This window comes from Homo sapiens, chromosome 16 (genome assembly GCF_000001405.40).
Source record: "Homo sapiens chromosome 16, GRCh38.p14 Primary Assembly".
NCBI classification, from domain to species: Eukaryota; Metazoa; Chordata; class Mammalia; order Primates; family Hominidae; genus Homo; species Homo sapiens.
Window position 1 is genome coordinate 22205369 of NC_000016.10, and position 25811 is coordinate 22231179.

The 25811-nt window shown below is 48.3% G+C and overlaps 1 protein-coding gene across 1 annotated transcript in view, besides 8 other annotated features; it reads left to right on the forward strand.

Moving 5' to 3' along the window:
• Positions 681-980: a silencer, noted in NCBI's record as "silent region_7264". NCBI's record gives its function as "represses an Ori minimal core promoter by ATAC-STARR-seq in GM12878 lymphoblastoid cells {active_cell/tissue: GM12878}" and the evidence as "EXISTENCE:reporter gene assay evidence [ECO:0000049][PMID:35858748]".
• The window catches only part of EEF2K (eukaryotic elongation factor 2 kinase), an 82461-nt gene continuing 57559 nt past the window's right edge, over positions 910-25811 (forward strand). The window contains exons 1-2 of the mRNA NM_013302.5: positions 910-1311; positions 20286-20607. Of these exons, the coding sequence (NP_037434.2) occupies positions 20362-20607 (246 nt within the window). The 5' untranslated portion in view covers positions 910-1311; positions 20286-20361. The remainder of the gene's footprint in view (positions 1312-20285; positions 20608-25811) is intronic.
• Positions 1141-1410: a silencer, noted in NCBI's record as "silent region_7265". NCBI's record gives its function as "represses an Ori minimal core promoter by ATAC-STARR-seq in GM12878 lymphoblastoid cells {active_cell/tissue: GM12878}" and the evidence as "EXISTENCE:reporter gene assay evidence [ECO:0000049][PMID:35858748]".
• Positions 4572-5072: an enhancer, noted in NCBI's record as "H3K4me1 hESC enhancer chr16:22221261-22221761 (GRCh37/hg19 assembly coordinates)". NCBI's record gives its function as "activates a minimal SCP1, AML or CMV promoter by ChIP-STARR-seq in primed H9 embryonic stem cells {active_cell/tissue: H9 hESC(primed)}" and the evidence as "EXISTENCE:reporter gene assay evidence [ECO:0000049][PMID:30033119]".
• Positions 9505-9674: an enhancer, noted in NCBI's record as "experimental_43156 CRE fragment used in MPRA reporter constructs". NCBI's record gives its function as "activates a minimal promoter by MPRAs in K562 erythroleukemia cells, with activity observed for both the introgressed and non-introgressed 16:22226279 variant alleles {active_cell/tissue: K562}" and the evidence as "EXISTENCE:reporter gene assay evidence [ECO:0000049][PMID:34662402]".
• Positions 11049-11193: an enhancer, noted in NCBI's record as "145 bp enhancer 198 fragment used in the MPRA reporter construct; PK_construct_4625". NCBI's record gives its function as "activates an SV40 promoter by MPRA in K562 cells {active_cell/tissue: K562}" and the evidence as "EXISTENCE:reporter gene assay evidence [ECO:0000049][PMID:23512712]".
• Positions 11112-11129: a transcriptional cis regulatory region, noted in NCBI's record as "GATA motif; enhancer activity is reduced when this motif is scrambled". NCBI's record gives its function as "necessary for full MPRA enhancer 198 activity {active_cell/tissue: K562}" and the evidence as "EXISTENCE:site-directed mutagenesis evidence [ECO:0005528][PMID:23512712]".
• Positions 13020-13519: an enhancer, noted in NCBI's record as "H3K4me1 hESC enhancer chr16:22229709-22230208 (GRCh37/hg19 assembly coordinates)". NCBI's record gives its function as "activates a minimal SCP1, AML or CMV promoter by ChIP-STARR-seq in naive H9 embryonic stem cells {active_cell/tissue: H9 hESC(naive)}" and the evidence as "EXISTENCE:reporter gene assay evidence [ECO:0000049][PMID:30033119]".
• Positions 20340-20963: an enhancer, noted in NCBI's record as "H3K4me1 hESC enhancer chr16:22237029-22237652 (GRCh37/hg19 assembly coordinates)". NCBI's record gives its function as "activates a minimal SCP1, AML or CMV promoter by ChIP-STARR-seq in primed H9 embryonic stem cells {active_cell/tissue: H9 hESC(primed)}" and the evidence as "EXISTENCE:reporter gene assay evidence [ECO:0000049][PMID:30033119]".

Genomic DNA, 25811 nt, shown 5'->3' on the forward strand with positions numbered 1-25811 from the left:
GTTCAAGCGATTCTCGTGCCTCAGCCTCCAGAGTAGCTGGGACTACAGGCGCGCCCGGCTGCTTTTTTGTATTTTTACTAAAGACAGGGTTTTACCGTTTTGGCCAGGCTGGTCTCGAACTCCTGACCTCAGGTGATCTGCCGGCCTCGGCCTCCCAAAGTGCTGGGAAGATGGAATGAGAGAAATCCCTCAAAACATGTCATTGTTACTACTTTTCTATCTAGAATGTGTGAAATTTCTAAAATTTCACTAACAAAGTATCTGGAAGGACCTAATATTAAAGTGTTCACAGTAGCTATTAGTTTTAATTCGTTTTCTTTTTTATACCTTAGCCACTCTACCACTCATGCCACAGGTATTTATTAAGCATCTACTGTGTGCCACCCAGGCCCTGTGTCAAGAGTTAGGAATAACTAAAGGAGATACTAATTTTAAAACTACACAAATAATTGCAATCGTCATACGTGCCTGTTTTTACAAAGCAGAAATCAGGAAAAACAAAGTATTTCCGATAAAAAATATTTTAAGGTTATGGATAGAGATACATACAAACAAGCGATGGGCTTGGATCACTAATGATTTTGGAAAGGACAGGAATACAGGAACTAAGCGAGAAGCAGGCGAGAATGGCGAGGCGCGGCGGGAGAGGACGGAAGTTGGTCACTCCCTCGAATTGCCCCCTCGCTGCCGGATGCTAGGCCAGCCTTGAGCAGGAGAACCGGACACTGTGTACTCAGCAGGGGGAGCCAAGACTTAGCGCTAACCATTGCACCTGGGGCTGGGAGCCAGCGCCGGAGCCAGGAGGCCCGCTAGGCGGCTGCAGGCGCTGTGATGGCCACCTGGGGGCGGCCACGTGAGCGCCACGCCGTGCGCCCGCCAGGCCAGCCCCGCCCCTGCCCGCCCGCTTCTGCTCAACCTAGACCAGCCCCAGCTTCAGCCTCAGCTCCCCTCCTTCCTGGATCGAGCGCCCGCACTCCCGGCCCTGCAGCCACCCGAGTCCCGCTCGCTGTCGCCTGCACGCGAGTCCCCCCTGGCACGCGCTCCCACATCCCGGGATCGTCCCAACGGCCCCTGCGCCCTTCCTGGGATCACTCCGACTGCCCCGCGCGCCCTGGGATCGGTCCATCTACCCCGCGTGGCCCCAGCTGCTTGCCCGGAGCGCCAGCTAGCGCTCCCCGCTCTCCGCTCCCCGGCACTCTCGGGGGGCCCGCCCGCCCTGCACCCTGGAGCTCCGGGCCGCGAGCCTCTGCCAACTCCTCTGGACCCTCGCGGCCGTGGGCAGCGGCTGCCGCGCCTGTCTGCCCGAGGGAGGTAGGTGTGGACCGCGGCCGGCAAGGCTGTGGGGGGCTGGGAGCCCGCGCTGCAGGCCTGTGCGCCCGGGTGCAGCTGGCGTCTGGAGCGTGCTGGGTCTGGGCTTGGGAATGGGGCCGGAGAAGGCATGGAAGGAGAGTGTGGGGGCGCTTCTCCTCTGGTTGTTAAACTCTCTGGGGCTAAGTGCTTGCTTTGGAGAAATGGGGAAGTTGTGCGGATTAAAGGCGATGTGGATATGGAAAGCAATTGGCAAGCAATGGGCGGTGATCTGGCTGCAAGTGACAGAGAGTTTGGGGGCCTCCCCCCTCGGGGCCCCTAGAGTGTGGGCGCATCGCTGCCTTCCTGTCCCCTGCAGGGCTCAGAGCCGCATCCCCCACCTTTCCCCTGAACTAGAGGCCTGCGTCAGCCCGAATTCCCGGAACCTCCAGGACTGTATAGACGCGCCCTTGCTGCATTGTTGGCTGCGGGAGTTTGTTGGCAGGCGCTGCTGACATGTGTGCCAAGGGGCTGGGCATTAATAAGCCGGTGGCCGCGCGGGGGTGGGGGCCTCCCGGGTAAGCCCCGGCCTAGATCCTTTTGCGCGCGCCTGGGGGATTTCGGGGAACCAGCCCAGCTGCGCCCTGAGTGTGACAGATGGGCCGCATGGGGAAGTGAGATCTGCCCAGGGGGACGGTCCCAGGGAGCCCGACCTCTGGGACCTCGGTGGTGGGTGCTTCTTCAGCCAGGAAAGCAGGAAACACTAGGGCTGGAGTCCTGGGTTGGAATTCTAGCTCATTTATGCTCTCTGGCCCTCGGTTTTCTCATCGGTAAAATGGGTACAGTATTAGTATCTACCACTTAGTATCCTTGGAAAGAGTAGATGAGTATGTATATGTCAGGTGCTTGGAACAGTGCCTGGCACACAGTGTCATAGTCTATGGCCCCGGGAGACATCTGATGGCCAAGAGCCCTGTGGTTGAGGGCCCTGGACAGGCTGTGAAGTCACAGCGAATTGAGTCACGTAGTCTATCCTAATGTTTTTAGCGAGGAGGAAACCGAGGGTCAGAGTGATCCCCAGGCCCACAGAAGCTCCCTAAGAGGAAGCCAGTCACATAAACAGATTCTAAAAAGCGAGATGGAGTAAATGGGAATACAGAGCAAGCAGGTGGGAGCTGAGAATGCCCACTGTGTGTGTAAAGGGGAGAGGGTTATGGGGGAAGGCTTCCTGTAGCAAGTGCTGTTTAAGCTGAGCTGGGGAAGAGGCAGGTGGAAGGAGGTAGAGTTCAGAGATGGCGTATGCAGGTGTCTTCCTTCTGTGTGGCCTCCACAGCACCCGATGTTCATTCCTTTGTTCAGCTATTAATTCAACAACTACAGTAAAACCTCTCAAGGACATGAATTTCAGTGTAACATGGCTGGGATTGGCGTCCGCCCTCCTCTCAGCCCCCATTCTCAAAGAAGGGGGTGGGGTCCGAAGTTCTTATCCTCTGCAGGGAATGGGGAGGCCAGAAGACAGAACTGAAGTGGTCACAGTTTACACATAATCATCGGTGTACATTCCAAGAGCTACCGGTGTTTTGGGCCAGGGGCGTGGTGGCTCAGGCCTTTAATCTCAGTACTTTGGGAGACTGAGGAAGGTGGATCACTTGAGGTCAGGAGTTTGAGACCAGCCTGGCCAACATAGGGAGCCCCCATCTCTACTAAAAATACAAAAATTAGCTGGGCATGTTGGCATGAGCCTGTAATCCCAGCTACTCGGGAGGCTGAGGCAGGAGAATCGAGAATCGTTTGAACCCAGGAGGTATAGTTTGCAGGGAGCTGAGATTGCACCACTGCACTCTAGACTGGGCAACAAAGCGAGACTCTGTCTCAAAAAATAAAAAAGATCCACCAATTTGTTTTTCTTGTGCTTTTTGTAACTGTACAGTACTTTTTGGCTGATTACGGATATATCACTGGCTGGGTGTGGTAGCTCACACCTGTAATCCCAGCCACTTTGGGGGTGCTGAGGCGGGAGGATTGCTTGACCCCAGGAGTTCAAGACCAGCCTGGCTGACGGGGTGAAACCCGGTCTCTATTTAAAAAAAAAAAAATCTCTGATTTGCTTTTAAAACATTTTACTGTATTATGTGGCAGAGAAAGCTATGGGTCACCAGTACCCATGTTCTCGTCCTCCTGGGGTGCTCCCTGGATGAATTTTCCTAGGCTTCCTTACCATTCGGTAGGGCCACACGGCTGAGTTTTGGCTGATGAAATGTGAGTGTGTCCATTTCAAGCCTCGACCCTAAAAACCTCTCACTCTTTCCTTATTTGTTGGACAAGTCAAGGCGACTTTGAAGGCCTAGAGGAGGGCAGAGCCACAAGCCAGAGGGAGTGTTTGTTGTTTTTGAGATGGAGTCTTGCTCTGTTGCCCAGGCTGGAGTGCAGTAGTGTGATCTCAGCTCACTGCAACCTCTGCCTCCCAGATTCAAGTGATTTTCCTGCCTCAGCCTCTTGAGTATGAGCTGGGACTACAGGCACATGCCACCGTGCCCAGCTAATTTTTGTATTTTTAGTAGAGATGGGATTTCACTGTGTTGGCCAGGCTGGTCTCAAACTCCTGACCTCAAGTGATCCACCCGCCTCCCAAAGTGCTGGGATTACAGGCATGAGCCACCATGCCCACCCGGGAAGGATGTCTTTAGGGTTGTTATCTTGCTGTGGGGAGAGTCCCCAAAGCAGTCTTGTCCAGTTTTTGGCAGGGTTGTCGTCTGGTTGCCGGGACTCTGGGAGCTGTGTGAAGAAAGCCAAGGGTGAACAGCAGAAGCTTGGACTTGTTCAAGCTCGTTCTCCGGGATTCACTATTTCTGGTCCAGTTCTTACACCTGAAGCAGAACAACTGAATGATCAGGGCTATAGACAAAGTAATAGCGGCAGGTTGAACTAATTTAAAAGAATCAGTGTTTTTTGTTGAGGGAGATTGGTTCTGCTGACCTGAAAGCTGCAGGTTATTACCCTGATGAACTGAGAAGGCTCCTAGAAGGTGGTTAGAGCGATGACCTTGTCTCCACCTGGGATGAAAGCGGCTTGGGCCTTAAAGTGTTGCTGGATCAAATTCTTGCAGCCAAGGCTGATGAGCACAAGCAAGGAGGCTTCTTTTTTGTTGTTGTTTTGAGACAGGGTCTTGCTCTGTCACCCAGGCTGCGGTGCAGTGGCACAGTCACAGCTCACTGCAGCCTGGAACTCCTCGGCTCAAGTGATCCTCCTGCCTCAGCCTCCCAAGTAGCTGGGACTACAGACATGAGCTACCACCATGGCTGGCTAACTTTTAATTTTAGTGTAGAGATGGGGTCTCACTCTGTTGCCCAGGCTGGGCTTGAACTCTGGGCTCAAGCGATTCTTCTGTCTGGGCCTCCCAAAGTGTTAGGATCACAGGCATGAGCCGTGCCCAACCATATAAGAAGGCTTCAGACAAAGGAAGGAGTGAGTCACTAACACGCTGATGATAAAGCAGAAAATAACAGTGCTCCCCACAACCCCCAAAGTCCCAGGGCTGTGGGACTCCTAGAGAAGCGTCTCAAATGGCTCCAGAGTCAGAAGGTGGATGGCGTTCTGTTCTCCAGCTGTGAAGCTTTCGAGCTCTAGCAAGGACTAGCAAGCCAGAGGAAGCACCCGGAAGTAGGTGGCTAAACTGCGGAAAATTGCCCTAGGCCAGCGTTTCTCTAACTTCAGTGCACATCAGCATCCCCAGCAGGACTTGCTTACACTTTGATTGCTGGACCCATCCCCAGAGTTTAATTTAGTAGGTCTGTAGTGAGGCTTGAGAATTTGCATTACCAGCAAGTTGCCAGGTGAGGCTGCTGCAGTGGCTGCTGCGGCAGCTGGTCCCATACTTTTAGAAGCGCTGGTTAAGGAAGTGATGACTGCATTGAAAGCTCTGGATTCAGCCCGCACCAGCTTCAAACCCAACTCTAGTCATGTGATTTGGGATAAGTCACATAACCTCTCTGTTCCTTAGTTTTCTCATCTGTAGAATGAAGCTAAGAGCGACTAACTCCTGGGGTTCAGGGGAGGCTTCATGAAGGAGGTGATATCTAAGCTGAGACCTGAGGGATGAGCAGTCAAGTTGGCCAGGGGATGAGTAGGGAGGACAGGCTGGGGTGTGTACCAGACAGAGGGCATAGCATGTTCAGAGCCCGAGGAGGAAGGAGTGCCTGCCTTCTAGGGAGCTGGGAGGAGTTATGTAGCAAGTGCTTTGTAAGTGATACTGAAATGCTACCAATCTGTTCTGGGCAGGATCACAGTGGAGAGGAAGCCAACCAGGGTATGGAAAATGGGCTGCTGGACGGGCTCAGAAATGGTACAAGTTATTTGTGCTCTTTCATTGGCCAGAATGCAGTCACATGACCTTACCTAGCTGCAAGGGATGCTGGGAAATGTCCGTGGCCAGGCAGGGGAGAAAGGATTCCTGGAGGAAAGCCAGCTCTCTGTGCCACCTGTGGTTTTCAGGCCCCCTCTCTCACTTCTTCTCCACCTTGCTCACTTTGCTCCACTCTGTTGAGTAGATGAATTTTACAGATGAAGAAGCTGAGGTTCAGAAGGTTAAGTAATTTCCCCCAGCATTCCTCAGCTGACTGTGGCAGGGCCAGGACTTGAATTCATCCCAAAGGCCTTGTTTGGCTAGATCTGGTTTTGGTGCTTATCAGGTCCTCCATGAGCCAGTCTTTCCCACTACGACCTCAGCCATGTCATTGGACTAAGTAACTCCTATGTAGTTACAACACAGTAGGTTGTTTTGTTTGTTTTTGTTTGTTTGTTTTTTCGGAGGTCTGGGGGCGGGGGGATAGAGTCTTGCCCTGCTGCCCAGGCTGGAGTGCAGTGGCACAATCTTGGCTTACTGCAACCTCTGTCTCCTTGGTTCAAGTGATTCTCATGCTTCAGCCTCTCAAGTAGCTGGGACTATACAGGTCGTGTGCCACCACACCTGGCTAATTTTTGTATTTTTGGTAGAGATGGGGTTTCTCCATGTTGCCCAGGCTGGTCTCGAACTCCTGGCCTCAAGTGATCTGCCTGCCTCGGTCTCCCAAAGTGCTGGGATTACAGGGGTCAACCACCGTGCCCAGCCACAACCCAAAAGTCCTTCTGTTTCTCCATTATATCAGCAGGAAACTGCCAGCTTTTCTTCACTTACTCGTTCATTCATGCAGCATGCACTTGTGCATTTATGGTGTGTGCCAGGCATTGTGCTTTGGGCTGGGAGCTGCAGAGGAACAAGACACACGGCCCCTTTTGTTCAAGACACTCACATGGTCTGGCCACCGAGAGGGCTGGGCACACAGTTCATGTGAGAAGTGAGACGTGCTGTATCCCTGAGCTGACCCACCAGGAGTAGAGTGTACCGTGGACATGCAGAGAGTGCCCAGCAAGTGATTAAACATTACAGTTCAAGCTCCCTTGTGCATTTTGCTAATCAAAGCTATAATTATATTTTGTGTTTCATATTCCAAAATGCATTTTTCAGATTCCTGAAACAATAAAATAGCCCTTGCATGATGACAGTTTTATATGCAGAAAACACAGTGTACTGCAATGATATTTTTACGAGCCTTTAGCAGAGCAAATGATGACGTATCTCTGGCTTCTGCAGCAGGTTGCTGTTTACATCGGTAAGTTGATTTCTCTGTCTCTTTCTTTTTTTTTTTTTGAGACAGAGTCTTGCTGTGTCACCCAGGCTGGAGTGCAGTGGCACGATCTTGGCTCACTGCAACCTCCGCCTCCCAGGTTCAAGCAATTCTTCTGCCTTGGCCTCCTAAAGTAGCTGGGATTACAGGTACACACCACCACACCCAGCTGGTTTTTGTATTTTTAGTAGAGATGGGGTTTTCACCATGTTGGTCAGGTCTCAAACTCCTGACCTCGTGATCCGCCTGCCTCGGCCTCCCAAAGTGCTGGGATTACAGTCGTGAGCCACCGCACCTGGCCTTCTCTGTCTCTTTATGGTATGTGGGGAGATTTGTTTTTAAAAGGAAAAGGGGAAGAGAGGGTTGGGGAGGGCTCCTTAAAATTACACCAGAGGCTGGACACAGTGGCTCACACCTGTAATTCCAACACTTTGGGAGGCTGTGGCTGGAGGATCACTTGAGTCCAGGAGTGGCAAGACACCATCTCTACAAAAAATTTTTTAAAATAAGCCAGGCATAGTGGCACAGGCCTGTAGTCCCAGCTACTCAGGAGGCTGAGGCGGGAGGATCCCTTAAGCCCAGGAGTTCAAGGATGCAGTGAGCTGTGATTATGCCACTGCACTCCAGCCTGGATGAGAGATCAAGACACCCACCCAGTCTCTTAAAAAAGAAAGAAAGAGGCCAGGCACAGTGGCTCACGCCTGTAATCCCAGCACTTTGGGAGGCGGAGATGGGTGGATCACCTGAGGTCAGGAGTTCAAGATCAGCCTGGGTGACATGGTGAAACCCTGTCTCTACTAAAAATACAAAAATGAGCCAGGCATGGTGGCACACACCTGTAATCCCAGCTACTCAGGAGGCTGAGGCACAAGAATCACTTGAACCTGGGAGATGGAGTTTGCAGTGAGCCAAGATGTAGTTGCTGCACTCCAGCCTGGGCGACAGAGTGAGACTCCATCTCAAAAAACAAAAGAAAGAAATTCCACCAGATTCATTCTAGAGCTGGGTTTCTCAGCCTCGGCACTGACATTGGGCCGGACCTTCTTCACTGCAGGGGACTGTTCTGTTTATTTTAGGATGTTTGGCAGCATCCCTGGCCTCTATCCACTAGATGCTAGTTGCACCCCTAGAGTTTCAACAACTGAAAATGTCTCTAGACATTGCCAAATGTCCCTTGAGGGAGCAAAATTGCCCAAGGTTGAGAGCTGCTCTTCAGGACTTCGTTAGTTTCCAATTGCTGCTGTAACAAATTGCTGCAATTACTTAGTGGCTTTAAAACAACACATTTATTATCTTATAGTTCCTGGGGATCAGAAGTTCTAAAATCTAGGTGTCAGCATGGCTGTGTTCCTTCTGGAGGCCCCAGGAGAAAATCGGTTTCTTTGCCTTCTCCAGATTCTAGGGGCTGTCCTCATTCCTTGGGCTCCTGGCCCCTCCCTTCCATCTTTGAAGCCAGCAGTGTGGCAACTTCACACCTTTCTGTCTTTGGTCACATCTCTTCCTCTAACTCTGACCCTTCTACCTCCTTTTTATAAGGATCCTTGTGATTACACTGGGCTCACAGGATAATCCATGACTGTCTCCCATCTTAAGATCCTTAATCACATCTGCAAAGTCCCTTTTGCCATATAAGGTAACATATTCACAGGTTCCAGGGATTAGGATGTAGCCATCTTAGGGGAGCCATGTTTCTGCCTGCCGCAGACAGTCTGGCCTCAGGTTATAATGAAATTTGCTTGTGGAGGGTTTGTAGGGAGCGAAGTGATTTAGGGAGTCGGGGACTGGAGGATTATTGGGACATAACAGCAGCTAGTACTTTTGAGAGTCAAGTCTATCCCAGACACCATGTGCCTAATCTCATTGTATCCTCAGAACAACCCCTGCAGGGGTACTGTTAGCTGACCCCTGTTTACAGAGGAGGGAACTATCCAAGGAAGGCTTTCTGGAGGCCAGGTGCAGTAGCTCATGCATGTAATCAACTTTGGGAGGTCGAGGCAAGAGGATCGCTTGAGGCCAGGAGTTCAGAGGCAAGAGGATCACTTGAGCTTGGGAGACTGAGGCTGCCGTGAGCCATGATTGCACCATTGCACTCCAGCCTGGGTGACAGAGTGAGACCCTGTCTCAAAAAAAAAAGAAAAGAGACCAGCCTGGGCAATGTAGGGAGACGCCCATCTCTATAAAAATAAAATAACATAATTAGCCAGATGTGGGTGGTATGCACCTGTAGTCCCAGGTACAATGGAGGCTGAGGTGGGAGGATCACTTGAGCCCAGGAGTTGGAGGCTGCAGTGAGCTATGATTGCACCACTGCACTCCAGCCTGGCCAACAGAGCCAGACTCTCTCAGCAACAACAACAACAACAAACCCAAAAGAAACAAACAAGGAAGGCTTTCTGGAGGAGGTCAACATTTGAGCTGCGTCTTGAAGAGATTAAAGGGTTTTGCTAGTGAGTGGGAAAGGGATTCCAGGCAGAGGTGTTACTGGTGGAGGGTGTCCAGGTTCTTGGCATTTTGAGCAAAGAATTGGACAAAACACACGAACAAAACAAGGAAAGAAAGCAACGAAAGCAAATATTTACAGAAAACAAAAGTACACTCCACAGGGTGGGAGTGGGCTTGAGCAGATTGCTTACAGAATTGCCTGGGGTTTAAAAACCCTCTAGAGGTTTCCCATTGGTTACTTGATGTACACCCTATGTAAATGAAGTAATGGCCTGGGATCAGTCTGATAGGTTGTGGAATGCGACCAATCAGAGGCTGAAGTGAAGTTACAAATGAAGACTCCTATACAAACGAGGACTTGGCCAGCACCAGCCTGATTGGTTGTGGGAAGGGACCAATCAGAGGTAACTTCAGTTTTTCATCTGCCACGCAGGTAAGTTGGGGGTTGCAAAGGGAGTAGCCTCTGGTCCTTTTGTTACTTGGGCTTGGAAAGTAGGGGTTTTCCTTTTGATTTAGTTCTAGGAAGTCAGCCTGAATCAGCCTTAGGTTCCCTGCCTCCAGACCCTATTCGCCTGCCTCAGAGGCACCTGCAGATAGATACAAGGGCAAGGAGGTGAGGAGAGTTTGGTGGTGCATGGAGATTGATTCTTGGACTTGGAAACTTGGGAAGCTGAGATGGCAGGGAGGAAGGGACGGATGGGCTGGACTCTGTAAATTGGTCCTTTCATTCTGATGTACTATTTCTCTCAATAGTTTAAATAAATGTTTATGAGCACCCATTATATGCTAGGGGTGCAGACATTAAGACACTGATGTGAACTCTTAGCTTGATGCTTGACTTAATCACTCCTAATGCTGCATCCCAGTAAATAAACACTGAGCAGCCAGACACGGTGACTCACACCTATAATCCCATCTCTTTGGGAGGCTGAGGCGGGTGGATCACTTGAGGTCAGGAGTTCAAGACTAGCCTGACCAACATGGTGAAACCCCGTCTCTACTAAAAATACAAAAATTATCCAGGTGTGGTGGCGGGTGCCTGTAATCCCAGCTACTCGGGAGGCCGAGGCAGAAGAATCACTTGAATCCGGGAGGCGGAGGTTGCAGTAAGCCGAGATCACGCCACTGCACTCCAGCCTGGGTAACAGAGGGAGACTCCATCTCAAAACAAAAGAAACACTAAACATAAGGGTATTTGAGTTCATGTTGAGCACCTGTGCACTGAAGGCAATACAAGGTATGGGGGGAGGGATGGAGACAGCAGTGCAGACCTTAGGATGTCACAGCCCACCTGACAAGTCTATTGTCTAGGAGAGGGTCCCAGCTCCTAATGGTGGGGCCCAGGATTCAAACCCTGGCCATGCGGCTGTAGAGGACAAGCTGTTAGCCACTGTATTGGGCTTTGGTTTTTGTTTCTTGTTTGAAGGAAACTCGGGACTCCAGCTAGGGTTTAAAATATCTTCAGAACAAGCCAGGTGCAGCCCTCAACAGCCTAGCGCTGTGTAGTTCCGCTCCCTTAAGGTTGCCTTTTCAGAGGTAGACTGTCACTTCTGGACCTAGCAGCTCCTGTCATTGTCAGAGGAGAGTCCAGTGTAGCACCTGGTGTGCAGTCAGTCTTTCACGTGCATTATTTGTCTTTCTTATTTCCATAGAAATTACGCCTTTTTGAGGTTGATAAGCTTTTGAGGTTGATAAGCAGATAAGTAGCTCTTCTGCTTACTTATCACTCATTCACAGCACAAAAGCCACACTCTCCCTTCTCTGAATTCGTGTTAAACTGTGAGAAACTCAGCTTCTTCTAGTTGGTGGAATAAGACAGTGTCCTTGGCATGGTATGTAAAGGAACCAGATGGCTGGGCACTGTGACTCATGCCTGTAATCTCAACATTTTGGGAGGTTGACGCGGGAGGATCACTTGAGACCAGGGGCTTGAGACTAGCCTAGGCAACACAGCAAGATGCCGTCTGTAATAAATAAATAAAGGAACCAGAAGAAGACCTACCAGTGTAGGGATAGGGTGGGGAAGGGAAGTAGTAAGGGGAAGTAGAGCTAAAGTCTCATTTATCATACCTGGAAATCAGAAGATAGGATGAAAATAGATAAATTAAGAAATAATCAGGGCCGGGTGCAGTGGCTCATGCCTGTAATCCCAGCCCTTTGGGAGGCTGAGATGGGTGGATCCCTTGAGTCCAGGAGTTTGAGACCAGCTGGGCACATGGTGAAATCCCATCTCAACAAAAATATACAAAAATTAGCTGGGTATGGTGACGCGTGCCTGTGGTCCCAGCTACTCCGGCGGCTTATATGGGAGGATCACTTGAGCCTAGGAAACAGAGGTTGCAGTGAGCCAAGATTGCGCCACTGGACTCCAGCCTGGGTGACAGAGCAAGACCCTGTCTCAAAAAAAAAAAAAAAAAAAAAAAGAATCAGGAAGCGTATTATTTAGTGATATATATAGATAGATAGATAGAGAGAGAGAGAGAGAGAGATGCGAAGGATAACACTGAGAATAGTTGGAAGTAGTTGCCTCTAGGGTTGGGAAGTAGGGCTGCCCGTGCAAAGTTGCAAAGGTTGTTCACTAGAGTTGAGCAGTACCCCACCTATATGATCATATACAGTGGCCCTAGTAAGAAAAAGGTGTTTAAAGCATTTTTAAAATTATATATAAATAATATACAATGGCCCAAACCCTGGCTGGGTTTGGACAGAGTCTCACTCTGTCGCCCAGGCTGGAGTACAGTGGCACGATCTTGGCTCACTGCAAACTCTGCTTCCCAGGTTCAAACAATTCTCCCACCTCAGCTTCCCGAGTAGCTGGGATTACTGGGATTACCGGCTCGTGCCACCATGCCCCGCTAATTTTTGTATTTTTAGTAGAGACGGGGTTTCACCATGTTGGCCAGGCTGGTCTCGAACTCCCGACCTCAGGTGATCCACCTGCCTTGGCCTTCCAAAGTGTTGAGATTACAGGCGTGAGCCACCGTGCCTGGCTGGTTTGGGGATTTTCATATTGCATGTGACAGAAAACCTATCTGTAACTAGCTAAATAGCCCTTTCCCCTACTGCCCCCCAAAAGGCGGGGTTTATTGTATCATCTGATTCAGAAATCTACGCTGGGCTTGGTAGTTTGGTTTCGGGAACATCTGGATTCCAGGTCTCAAATGACATCATCGCTATTCATTTTTCTCTTTCTCTGGTTCTGCCCTCCACCACGTATCAGCTTTGTTCTGTGTTGGCCTCAGCCCCATTCTCAAGTTCACATTCAGCATGAAAAGGCTGATCACCTCTTCCAGTCACTCAAGCAAAAAGCCCCAGGTTTGCTGCAATGGGCTAGAATAGTTTGACTGTAATCACATGACCACCTCTAAGCCAATCTCTGTGGCCAGGCACCCCAGTGGTTGGTTTAGGCCTGGATCTTGTGACACACTCCTGAACACATGACTCGAGGGTGGGGCAGAGGCAGATCCTCACACAGAAGCTGGTGCGTGATTCCAGGTGGCTGATCAATCACCTGTGTCCACTGTGGTTGTAGTCAAGGGCGTGTGGGTTGTGCTGTGCTGGGCGTACACTAGTGTGTGCATTGGCCAGCTCGGGGTGCCACGTTATTGGCTTTGGGATGCTGGTTCCCAGGAGTGGCGGTGGGAAGATTCCACCTGCTTTCTATGGTAGGAAGGCAGGTCCTGGGGTGAGGGTGAGCCCCGAGGGGGACCAGTGGCCACTGTGGCTTGACCCGCAGGCCTTGACCTGAGCATTGCAGGCATAGTTTCCTGCCCCTGTAACTGCCAGATCGAGACCCAGTGAGACAGTGGTTTCCGTCGCCAGAGACTGAAATAGTGTATTCCCTGAGGACCCCTGAAGAAGCTTGGCTTTGCTACGAGCCAGACGTCCAGGTCACAAGTCTGGCTGGGACCCAAGGCTCAGTCCCTTTATAATAGCTGTTGAGTTCACGGAGTGAGTACAATTATGCATCCCCACTGAGGCTCAAGAGGTGAAGTCACATAGCCAGTTAGTGGTAGAGATGGGGCTTGAACCTGGGTCTTCCTGACTCACTCAGCTACCTTTCCATAGAAATAGGGACTGGAGGCCGGGCGCAGTGGCTCATGCCTTTAATCCCCAGCACGTTGGAAGGCCGAAGAGGGTGGATCACTTGAGGGCAGGAGTTCAAACAAAAAAATTAAAAAAAAAAAAAAAAAGAGAAAAAAGAAAAGAAATAGGGACTGGGAGGAGAAGATGTGGATGCCTGAGTGAGGTAGAGAAAGCTTTCAAGAAAAATCCTGATGTCTTTCAGCTGGAGTCCTATTCTTATCACAGGAGTAGATCCTTTCTTTGGGCCAAGGGAACCCCAGGATAGATAGAGACCCCTAGGAGGCTGGGCATCTTGCCTGGTGTTAGAACAGGCCTCCTGGAACTGACTTAAAGGCTAAGGAAGGTTCCTTGCTTGTTTGGGGAAATCCAACATCCTCCAGGTACCCAGTCTTCATGTGCAAATGTAAGAGTATCTGCCAAGTTAGGACTATGGATTGAGGCCACAGTTTTCCCAGGTTGACCCTGCCCAGGCACCCATTTGTCATAAAGGTTGTGACCTTTAGGCCAGGTGCAGTGGCTCACGCCTGTCATCCCAACACTTCAGGAGGCCAAGGTGGGAGGATTGCTTAAGGCCAGGAGTTCGAGACTAGCCTGGGCAACATAGTGAAACTGTGTCTCTACAAAAATAAAAAATTAGGTGGGCATAGTGACACACACCTGTAGTCCCAGCTACTCAGGAGGCTGAGGTAGGAGAATCACTTGAGCCCAGAGATCAAGGCTGCAATGAGCTCTGATTGCACAATTTTACTCCAGCCTGGGCAGCAGAACAAGACCCTTTCTCAAAAAATAAAACTTTACAAAAAAGAGGATGTGACTTTTTATGATATGGGAGAGAAGGAGCTACTGTTACCAAATAAAATTAGCAAGTAGAAAGGAAAAAAGAAAATTACAGTAGATTATACAAGTTTAGCTATCAGAGTATGAAGTTTCTGAATCCAGGATTGTTATGCTGTCCCATGGTATAAGAGACCCAGGTTCTGTTTGTCTCATAGCTCTTCCAGCCTCAGCACAGGGCCATCCGCCTCATGGTCTAGGGTAGCTGCTTGAGCTCCGGCAATCACATGTGCATTTCAGCCAGCAGGTTGGAAGGAGAGCCAAGGGGCACACTCCCTTTAAGAACCCTTCCCTATGGTTGCACACAGTCCTTCTTATATCCCATTGACTAAAACTTGTTCACATGTTTATATCTATCTGCAAAGGAGTCTGGGAAATGTATCCTGAGTGGCCACGTGACATGCTTAGCCAAAACCCGGTGGTTCTCTTATCAAGGAAGAAAGAGTGAACAGCTATTGGGGGATAGTTTGCCACAGCTGCCTTAAGAGCAAATTTATGACAACTCAAAAGCCATAAAACAGATGACACTCACTTAGCTCTGGAATGCATATCAAGTGCCTGCTGTGTACAAGGCGCTGTGCCAGGCAGGGTCACAGCTGCTTGTCTTCATTTCCCAGGGCCGAGGAGAACGTCAGGTCTGTGGTGGGACATGGCCGAGGGCCGAGCTCCCCACACTGTAAGATGAGGGAGTCGGCTCCGTGAATTAATTGGGTAAGGAGCCAGATTTGCTCGCTAGCAGCCCAGATCCTGAATCTGAGCGTGCTTTTTTTTTTGTTTTTTGCTTATTTGAGATGAGGTCTTGCTCTGTTGCCCAGGCAGTGGCACAATCTCAATTCACTGCAGCCTCTGCCTCCCCAGATTCAAGTGATCCTCCCACTTCAGCCTCCTGAGTAGCTGGGACTACAGGCACACACCACCACGCCCGGCTAATTTTTGTATTTTTTCGTAGAGACAGGATTTCGCCATGTTCCCCAGGCTGGCCTCGAACTCCTGAGCTCAAGCGATCTGCCCACCTTGGCCTCCCAAAGTGCTGGGATTACGGGCATGAGCCATCACGCCTGGCCCTGGATCTGAGCTTTTAACCACCGAACTACACTGTCTGGAGGTCTGCAGCTTGGGGCTGTGGTTCTGGCCCTCCTCCTGGCACTGTCCTGGCCCCCAGTGGCCGCTGACTAGGCTGGGCCTGCTGGCAGCTCCTGGCACCACGCCGTGTTGGTCAGCAGGGATTCTGGCCAAGGGCTGACCAGGGCAGAGTAGGCGCTGGGGCTGGGAGCAGCTGACAGTGAGGAGAGGCCAGTCCAGGGCTCAGGGAAGATTCTGGTGACAAGCAGGATCAGGTGGCTCTGGCATTGGATCCAGGCCTGTGACTGTGTCTTGCCCAGAGGATAAGAAACAAACTCAGTAGTTCACGTTGGTTTTCAAACGGTGAGTATAGAAATCAATGTGTGGGTGGTGTGTTAAGGAAAAAGATTAAACAGAAAGAAAAAACAGAGGACTTAAGTAGAATAGAAAATAGCAAGAGTGGGCCAAACACAGTGGCTCACATCAGTAATCCTAGTGCTTTGGGAGGCCAAGGTGGGAGGATCACTTGAGGCTGGAAGTTCAAGACCAGCCTGGCCAACATAGTGAGACTCTGTCTGTACAAAAATAAAAAACTTTAGCCGGGCATGGTGGCATGGACTGCTCTGGAGGCTGAGGCGGGAGGATCACCTGAACCCAGCTGTTGGAGGCTACAGTGAGCTGTGATCACACCACTGCACTCCAGCCAGGGCAACCTGTCTCTAAAAATAACATTTAAAAAAAAAAAATAGCAAGAGCGCATTATACAAAGTAAGGCTAAGCACAATTTCTTGAAATTTTACTGTCCATTTTATAAGCATGTAGTGGGTTAGGATATAAATATATTTCCTGCTTCGGTAGCCAGAGTACCAAAGCCTTGGCTCTAGAAGACTGTGCACCTGATGGACAGCACTGTCAAAAAAATTGGAATTATTGGTTTGATGTAAAAAAATTTTTAAACTAATTTACTTACTATTTTGTGTCTAAAGCAATCCAGCTTTGTAAAAAAGTTAAAGCAGTATAGAAACATACAAAGTTTTAAAAAGCTGGCCAGGCTCAGTGGCTCATATCTGTAATTCTAGCACTTTGGGAGGCCAAGACGGGCAGATCACTTGAGGTCAGGAGTTCAAGGCCACTGTGGCCAACATGGTGAAACCCCGCCTCTACTAAAAATACAAAAATTAGCTGGGTGTGGTGGTGGGCTCCTGTAATCCCAGCTACTCGGGAGGCTGAGGCAGGAGAATCGCTTGAACCTGGGAGGCAGAGCTTGCAGTGAGCCAAGATTGTGCCACCCCACTCCAGCCTGGGCAACAGAGCAAGACTCTATCTCAAAAAAAATTAAAAAATTAAAAATAAAAAGTTTCCTCCAGCTCTACAGCTGCTTATTTCGAGTGCTGTACAGTTCCTGTGGATTTTTCAGGGAAGTTTTCATGCATGTACACAGGTCCTTTTTCTTTTCTTTTCTTTTTTTGGAGACAGGGTCTTGCTGTATTGCCCAGGCTGGAGTGTTGTGGTGCAATTTCAGCTCACTGCAGCCTCTGGGCTCACTTGAACCTCCTGGGCTCAAGTGATCTTCCCACCTCAACCACCTGAGTAGCTGGGACTACAGGCACGCACCATCACACCCAGCTAATTTTTTGTATTTTTTTTGTAAAGTCAGGGTCCCATTATGTTGCCCAGGCTGGTCTTAAACTTCTGGGCTCAAGCGATCCTCCCACCTCGGCCTCCCAAAGTGCTGGGATTACAGACATGAACCACCACATCCGACTTTCTTTTCTTTAAAACTTTGGCTTTCTTGAGATAAAATTCACATACCTTACAATCTGCTCATTTAAAATGTACGATTCTGGCTGGGAGCAGTGGCTCATGCCTGTAATCCCAGCACTTTGGGAGGCTGAGGTGGGCAGATCACAAGTTCAGGAGTTCGAGAACAGCCTGGCCAACATGGTGAAACCCCGTCCCTAAAAAAAAAAAAAAAAAAAAAAAATACAAAAATTAGCTGGGCACAGTGGTGCGTGTCTGTAGTCCCAGCTATTTGGGAGGCTGAGGCAGGAGAATCACTTGAACCTGGGGGTGGAGGTTACAGTGAGCCGAGATTGTGCCACTGCACTCCAGCCTGGGTGACAGGGTGAGACTCCATCTCAGATAGATAGATAGTACAATTCAATGGTATATTCATAGTCATATAGCCACAGTCAATTTTAGAACCTTTTCATCAACTCAAAAGAAACCCCATACCCATTAGCAATCATTCCCCATTTCCCCCAACCATTCCCACCACCACACCCTACCTCCATCCTCAGGCAACCATTAATCTATTTTCTATTGCTGTTGCTTTGCCTTCTCTGGAAGTTTCATATACAGAGAATTAGTCAATGTATATAGTCTTTTGTCACTGCCTTTCACCTCCCCTAGTGGTTGTAAGTTTCATCCATATTGTAGTGTATGTCAGCACCTAGGAGTGGAATTGCTGGATCATACGGTAACTCAGTGTTTAACTTTTTGAGATGTTGTTTTTTTCTGTTTTTTTTTTTTTTTTTTGGTTTTGTTTTGTTTTTAGACAAGGTCTCACTCTGTCACCCAGGCTGGAGTGCAATGGCACAGTCTCAGCTCACTGCAACCTCTGCCTCCCAGGCTCAGGCAATTCTCTCACCTCAGCCTCCCAAGTAGTTGGGATTATAGGCATGCACCACCACGCCTGGCTACCTTTTATATTTTTAGTAGAGACAGGGTTTCGCCATGTTGGCCAGGCTGGTGCCAGAGTGTTTTCTAATTTCTTAATTTTTGGGTATGGCGTAAGGAAGGGGATCAACTTCATTTTTTTGCATGTGGATATTCATTTATCCCAACACCATTTGTTGAAAAGATTCTTCCTTCCCTGTTGAATCATCTTGGCTTGTTGAAAATCAAGTGACTGTAAAACTGAGAGTGAATTATCTTGGCACCCTTGTTGAAAATCAGGTGGCTGTAAATGTGACAGTTCTATCCTACAATCTTCCTGAACTCTTTCTTGATTATTTTTGTGTGTTTGTGGGTATGGGACCGTCCCCTTTCTAACAGTCACGGAGTATTTCATGGTGTAGAGAGAAATACTGTAATCTGTATAATGAGCTTCTATTGGACATTTGGGGTTGTTGGGTTTTGTTTTGTTGCTGTTACTGATTGTGCTACAGAAAGTGCTTTTAGGCCAGGCGTGGTGGCTCACATCTGTAATCCCAGCACTTTGGGAGGCCGAGGCAGGCGGATCACCTGAGGTCAGGAGTCCAAGACTAGCCTGGCCAACATGGTGAAACCCCGTCTCTACTAAAAATACAAAAATTAGCCGCGCGTGGTAGTGGATGCCTGTAATCCCAGCTACTCAGGAGACTGAGGCAGGAGAATTGCTTGAACTCGGGAGGCGGAAGTTGCAGTGAGCCGAGATCATGCCACTGCACTCCACAGAGCCAGACTCTGTCTCAAAGAAAAACAAACAAACAAAAAATGCTTTTAGGGCCACTCCTTCATTCTGGGAAAGTGCATTGAGTGCCTTCTCTGTGCCAAACACTTTTGGAGGTATTGGGCATACAGACAATAACAAAGTAAACGGGGTGATTTCAGTTTGAGAAAAGCACAATGAAGAAATGAAGCATGCCTGTAATCCCAGCATTTTGGGAGGCCAAGGCAGGAGGATCACTTGAGCCCAGGAGATTGAGACCAGTCTGGGCAACATAGGGAGACCCTGTTTTTACAAAAAACAAAGAAAATTGGCCAGGCTTGGTGGCATACACCTGTGATCCTAGCTACTTGGGAGGTTTGAGTGGGAGGATTGCTTGGGCCTGTGAGGTCAAGCAGTGACCTAGGTGAGCTAGGATTGCACCACTGTACTCCAGCCTGGATGACAGAGCAAGATTCTGTCTCAAAAAAAAAAAGAAAAGAAAAGAAAAAGAAAAAAGTCCGGATGTGGTGGCTCACGCCTGTAATCCCAGCACTTTGGGAGGCCCAGGCAGGAGGATCACCTGGGGTCAGAAGTTCAAGACCAGCTTAGCCAACATGGTGAAATGCCATCTCTACTAAAAATGCAAAAATTAGCTAGTTGTGGTGGTAGGCACCTGGAATCCCAGCTACGCGCGAGGCTGAGGCAGCAGAATCGCTTGAACCTGGGAGGTGGAGGTTGCAGTGAGCCAAGATCGCACCATTGCACTCCAGCCTGGGTGACAAGAGTGAAACTCTGTCTCAGAAGAAAAAAAAAAAAGAACAAAGAAAGAAATGGAACGGGGTGATATGCAAGGGAGTGATTGGATATGCATGTTGGGTTAAGGGTTCTTTGATTTGGGGATTCACAGAAGATTTCACTGAAGAGGCATCTGTGAGCTGTGAGCTCAATGATGAGAAAGAACCCACTGTTAGAAAGGTTGTTCCAGGCACAAGGAACAGCAGGTACAAAGGCTCGGAGGTCGGAATGAACTTAATGTGTTCACAGAACAGAAAGAAACCCAGTGTACCTGGAGAGCAGCCAGGGCCGGAGGAGAAGTGGGCAGCACGCTAGATGAACGCAGCTCTTGCAGCCTTACCAAGGCATTTGGATTTTATTATGAATGTGAAAGGAAGCTGCCAGGGGTGGGCGTTAAGCAGAGGAGTGCCTCGATCTAATTGATGTGCTAAAAAGAGCACTCTGCTTAAGAAGCCATTCCTTTCCCAACCTGGTTCCAACATTTGCAAACACTGAGTTCTTAAAAGTGGAATGACGACTGGGTCAGCGGGTTTCGAATTTAAAATGTGCCTGGGTGCTGCCAACTGCCTCCCCAAAAGATAGCTCTAGGTTTTACCCCAAGGGTGCCAGCTCCTGCGATAGCCTGCAGCATTTGGGGTGAGGGTCGGGCGAATTCGCAGCCCTGGGCCCCAGCACCCACTCTCTGGCCCTTGCTTTCCTTGTAGGACCTTCGCCTCTGCATTTGTCCAGTAACTCTGGCTGTGCCGGATACTGCTTGGGTAAAACGGGCACCCCAGGAACATGGCAGACGAAGATCTCATCTTCCGCCTGGAAGGCGTTGATGGCGGCCAGTCCCCCCGAGCTGGCCATGATGGTGATTCTGATGGGGACAGCGACGATGAGGAAGGTTACTTCATCTGCCCCATCACGGATGACCCAAGCTCGAACCAGAATGTCAATTCCAAGGTTAATAAGTACTACAGCAACCTAACAAAAAGTGAGCGGTATAGCTCCAGCGGGTCCCCGGCAAACTCCTTCCACTTCAAGGTGAGTGAGCCACCTATTCCACCTTCCCCACCTGGCTTAGCTGCTGTAAGGGATGGAGGGTTGGAGTCGCTGGTTGGGGACTTCTTCGTATTTCCAAACCCTGGACAGTGCTCTAAACTCTGAGCTGAGGATATACTTGTTAAGCAGGGAGGGTATTATTGATTTAAAATAAATTTCATTACCTTGGAACTGGGTGTTTTTCAAATAGTAGCCCAGGACACACTACGGAGTTGTGAAAACCTTTTGCTGAGTTTTGTCCAATGTTTTGTTTTGTTTGTTTATTTATTTTAGCTTTCTTTAGAGACAGAGTTCTCCTCTGTCACCCAGGCTGGAGTGCAGAGGTGCTGTTCTTTTTTTTTTTTTTTTTTTTTTTTTAAAGAAATGGAACAGAACAGAATAAAACAGCAACTATTGGGGAACATTGCAAACTGTAAAGATCTTATTTCTTTGTAAAAACGTTTATTTATTTATGGCAATAGAAAATCCCCAAACTAAGGACCTTATTTCTCTTTCTCTCTTTTTCTTTCTTTTCCTTCTTCTTCTTTTTTTTTTTTTTTATAAACGTGGTCTCGCTTTGTTGCCCAGGCTGCAGTGCAATGGCACAATCATGGCTTACTGCAGCCTTGAATTCCTAGGCTCAAGCAAGCCTCCCACCTCAGCCTCCTGAGTAGCTAAGATTATAGGCTTGTACCACTATACCCGGCTCATTAAAAAAATTTTTTTTGTAGAAATGGGGTTTCCCAGGCTGGTCTTGAACTACCACGCCCAGCCACTTGTTGTTAATTTTTTGAAAGAATTTATTTAACAACATAATTTTAGGTCAGGCGTGGTGTCTCACACCTGTGATGCCAGCACTTTGAGAGGACAAAAGGGAGGATCACTTGAGCCTAGGAGACCAGCCTGGGCAACATAGTGAGACCCTGTCTCTCAAAAAATAAAATAGGCTGGGTGCAGTGGCTTACGCCTGTAATCCCAGCAGTTGGGGAGGCCAAGGCAAGTGGATCACCTGAGGTAGGAGTTCTAGAGCAGCCTGGCCAACATGGTGAAACTCCATCTCTACTAAAATACAAAAAATTAGCCGGGTGTGGTGGCGCACACCTGTAATCCCAGCTACTTGAGAGGCTGAGGCAGGAGAATCACTTGAACCTGGGAGGTGGAAGTTGCGGTGAACTGAGATTGCACCACTGCACTCCAGCCTGGACAGCAAGAGTGAAACTCCTTCTCAAAAAATTAAAATAAAATAAATACATTTATTATTCATTTTATTTTTTTGTATTCCACTCTGCTGCCCAGGCTGGAATACAGTGGTGGGATCTCGGCTCACTGAAACGTCCGCCTCCTGGGTTCAAGTGATTCTTGTGCCTCAGCCTCCTGAGTAGCTGATATAACAGGCATGTGCCACCACACCCAGCAAAAGTTTTGTATTTTCAGTAGAAACAGTTGCACTGTGTTGGCCAGGCTGGTCTCAAACTCCTGGCCTCAAGTGATCCACCTGCCTCAGGTTCCCAAAGTGCTGGGATTACAGGCATGAGCCACTGCACCCAGCCTAAAATAAATTTAAAAACATAATTTTATTGAAAACCGTTTGGTAGGTGCCAGCGTGGGTACTTGATTACATGAAATTTGCATTTATTTATTACATATTATATATCTGTCACCAGGCTATGCACTGAGTACAGACAGGCAAACAGCAATTGTTTACAGACTTAACAATCTCCCCATTTATCAGCAGAGACATTCAAGCGGAGAAACAAATATAATAACTATTAGTTACTTTGATAGAAACTTGTTTTAGGGACACTGAAAAAAATGATCTCATTTAACATTTATAGCTATCTTGGCTGGGCACAGTGGCTCAAGCCTGTAATCCCAGCGCTTTGGGAGGCCAAGATGGTAGGATCGCTTTAGGCCAAGAGTTTGAGACCAGCCTGGTCAACATAGGAACACCCCATCTTTATTAAAGAAAAAAAAAAAGAAAAAATGCTTACAGCCATCCTATGTAGTTACAGCTATGAAGGATAAACCAAATTCTTTTTTTTTTTTTTTTTTTTTTTTTGAGATGGAGTCTCACTCTGTCGCCCAGGCTGGAGTGCAGTGGCACAATCTCAGCTCACTGCAACCTCCACCTCCCAGGTTCAAGCAAGACTAAATTCTTATGAATCATTACTTTTGAAACAATACCTAGTATTGTGTGTCACACATTATAGGTGCTTAATAAGTGTTATTTCCCTCTCTGTTGCCACATTCCAGGAGTGTGGTCCTAATAATTTGTCACTGATTATGAGAATTAATATATTTTTTAAAACCTTTCCACAAATTAATTACCTTTTCCCAAATTTGTTTACTGATTAAAAGCTCATACTGTGGGCTGGGCGCGACGGCTCACACCCGTAATCCCAGCACTTTGGGAGGCTGAGGCGGACAGATCACAAGGTCAGGATTTCGAGACCAGCCTGGCCAACATAGTGAAACCCATCTCTACTAAAAATACAAAAATTAGCCGGGCATGGTGTTACAATAAAACTCCAGCCAAGGAAAAGACAAAGAGACCTTTGGAAACCAAAGAGAACTTTATTTAATTCAGGTACCCGGGCCGACAGCAGGCCCACGCCTAAAATGGCTGCCGACTGGGACACAGAAAGCAGGCTTGCTTATATGTCGTTTGAGGAGGGAAAACAAGGCAGGATACAGGTTTCAGACAAAGACAGTAAATTATTTAACACGTGACAATTCTGAGAAAACATATAATTTAGTTATCTTGACCAGTCAACTTTGAAGCTGGACAGCTCGAGCTTCGGGGTAAGGGAAAACAGGAATTACAGAAATACGCGGGGGTCTGGAGGCAGGCAATAAGCTTGGAAGATTGAGATAAGCTCATAGCTGCAACTTGTTAGCAATGCTGGGAGGGGCTGCTTAAATTTCTTAGCCTATGTATAACTTCTAAATAACCTATACTTAATGTTAACTATTACTTATGTTTATTATTTTTAACTTTATTATTACTTATTTTATTTTCCTTCCACAATGGTGGTGCATGCCTGTAGTCCCAGCTTCTCAGGAGGCTGAGGCAGAAGAATCCCTTGAACCCAGGAGGCAGAGGTTGTGGTGAGCCGAGATCGCACCACTGCACTCCAGCCTGGGCAACAGAGGAGACTCCATCTCAAAAACAAAAAACAAAAAACAAAAACCTCATACTGTGGAAGGTTTCCGTCTCAAGTGTCTTCTACATTTGTCCAATTTTGTGTTGAATATTTTGAAAGCACCCCTGCATATGCGTGTATGTGGGTACAGAGACATATGTGCAATGTGATCCTTCATGTTGGTTATCGTAAAAAAACAAACAAAAAAACACTTTTTAGAGTTGGACATCCTTCTCTGGACTGAGGAAAAGTGTACTTATTTTGGTAGGGATTTGTGTTCATACCATAGCAAAGCTGGTATAAAGAAGACGGGGAGAAGCCGGGCGCGGTGGCTCACGCCTGTAATCCCAGCACGGGCAGGCAGATCACCTGAGGTCAGGAGTTTGAGACCAGCCTGGCCAACATGGCGAAACCCCGTCTCTACGAAAACACAAAAATTAGCCGGGCGTGTTGGTGCCACCTGTGGTCCCAGCTACTCGGGAGGCTGAAGCATGAGAATCACTTGAACCCAGGAGGCGGAGGTTGCAGTGAGCCAAGATTGTGCCACTGCACTCCAGCCTGGGTGACAGAGCGAGACTCCATCTCAAAAAAAGAAGAGGGGGAAAGGCGAACATTATTGGACTTTTTATAATAACTGGTGGGGGTAAAAAATCAAAAGTGCAATACCATTACCCTTTCTTAATCAAATCCTCACAAACAGTTAAGTATCAGTACTGTAAACAAAATGCCTATTACCACTTGGGGATTTGAAATTAAAAATAATCTTCCATAACTTCTGAATTAATCTGTTTTTAGAAAATTAATAATTTTAGTTCTTGGAGATAGTTGGGTAATGTTTTCCCTTTAGGCCTAGAGTTCTAGCTGGAGTTACTCTGGGGCAGGCAGCTCCAGAAATAGCCCCGTGGGTCTCCTCTGGGGTCCGGGGGCCCCTGAAGGGGCAGGTTTCCACTGATCCTGTTTCCTGTCCTAAGGCAGCTTTGAAATGAACACCCACCCCGAGGAGGACAGCTCAAGTGTCCGCAAGAGGGGCTGATTTAAATTACAGGCATTGGTTCTCACAGAATGCTGTGTTTACGTTAGAACAAAGTGATGTTTCTTTCCTTCTTTTTTTTTTTCGAGACAGGGTCTCACTCTGTCGCCCAGGCTGGAGGGCAGTGGTGTGATCCTGGCTCACTGCAACCTCCACTTCCTAGGTTCAAGTGATTCTTGTGCCTCAGCCTCCCAAGTAGCTGGAACCACAGGTGCACGCCACTATGCCCTGCTAATTTTTGTATTTTTCGTAGAGATAGGGTCTCGCCATGTTGCCCAGGCTGGTCTTTAACTCTTGGCCTCAAGTGATCCGCCCGCCTCAGCTTCCCAAAGTACTGGGATTACAGGCATGAGCCGACATGCCCAGCCTTTTCTTCTTCTTTTCTTTTTTCTTAGAGACACGGTCTTACTCTGTCACCCAGGCTGGAGTGCAGTGACATGATCATAGCTCATTGCTGCCTTGAACTCCTGAGCTCAAGCAATCCTCACACCTCAGCCTTCTGAGTAGCTAGGACCACAGGTACATGCCACCATGCCTAGCTGATTTTTAAAAAAATTTTTTGTAGATATGAGGTCTTACTATGTTACCCAGGCTAGTCCAAAGATGAAGATGATTCTATGTGATTTGACCTTTTTTGTTGTTGTTATTGTTTTACATTTTTTTGTAGAGAGAGGGTCTCATACTATGTTGCTTAGGCTGGTCTTGAACTCCTGGGCTCAAACAATCATCCCACTTCAGCTTCCCAAAGGGGGATTACAGGAGTGAGCCACCACGCCTGGCCATGATTTCACTCTAAAACAGTGCCTACTATTACATATAGTATGTGTGTGTGCAAATCCATAAAGAGCCTTTGGCACAAGCCTGGTCCATAATAAAGTCAAAAAATGTTAGCATTTTTATATATGTAGTTAAGTTAAAAAGCAAGTTGAAATATAGTATGATGCTTTTTTTTTTCTTTTCTGAGACAGAGTCTTGCTCCATCACCCAGGCTGGAGTGCAGTGGTGCAATCTCGGCTCACTGCAACCTCTGCTTC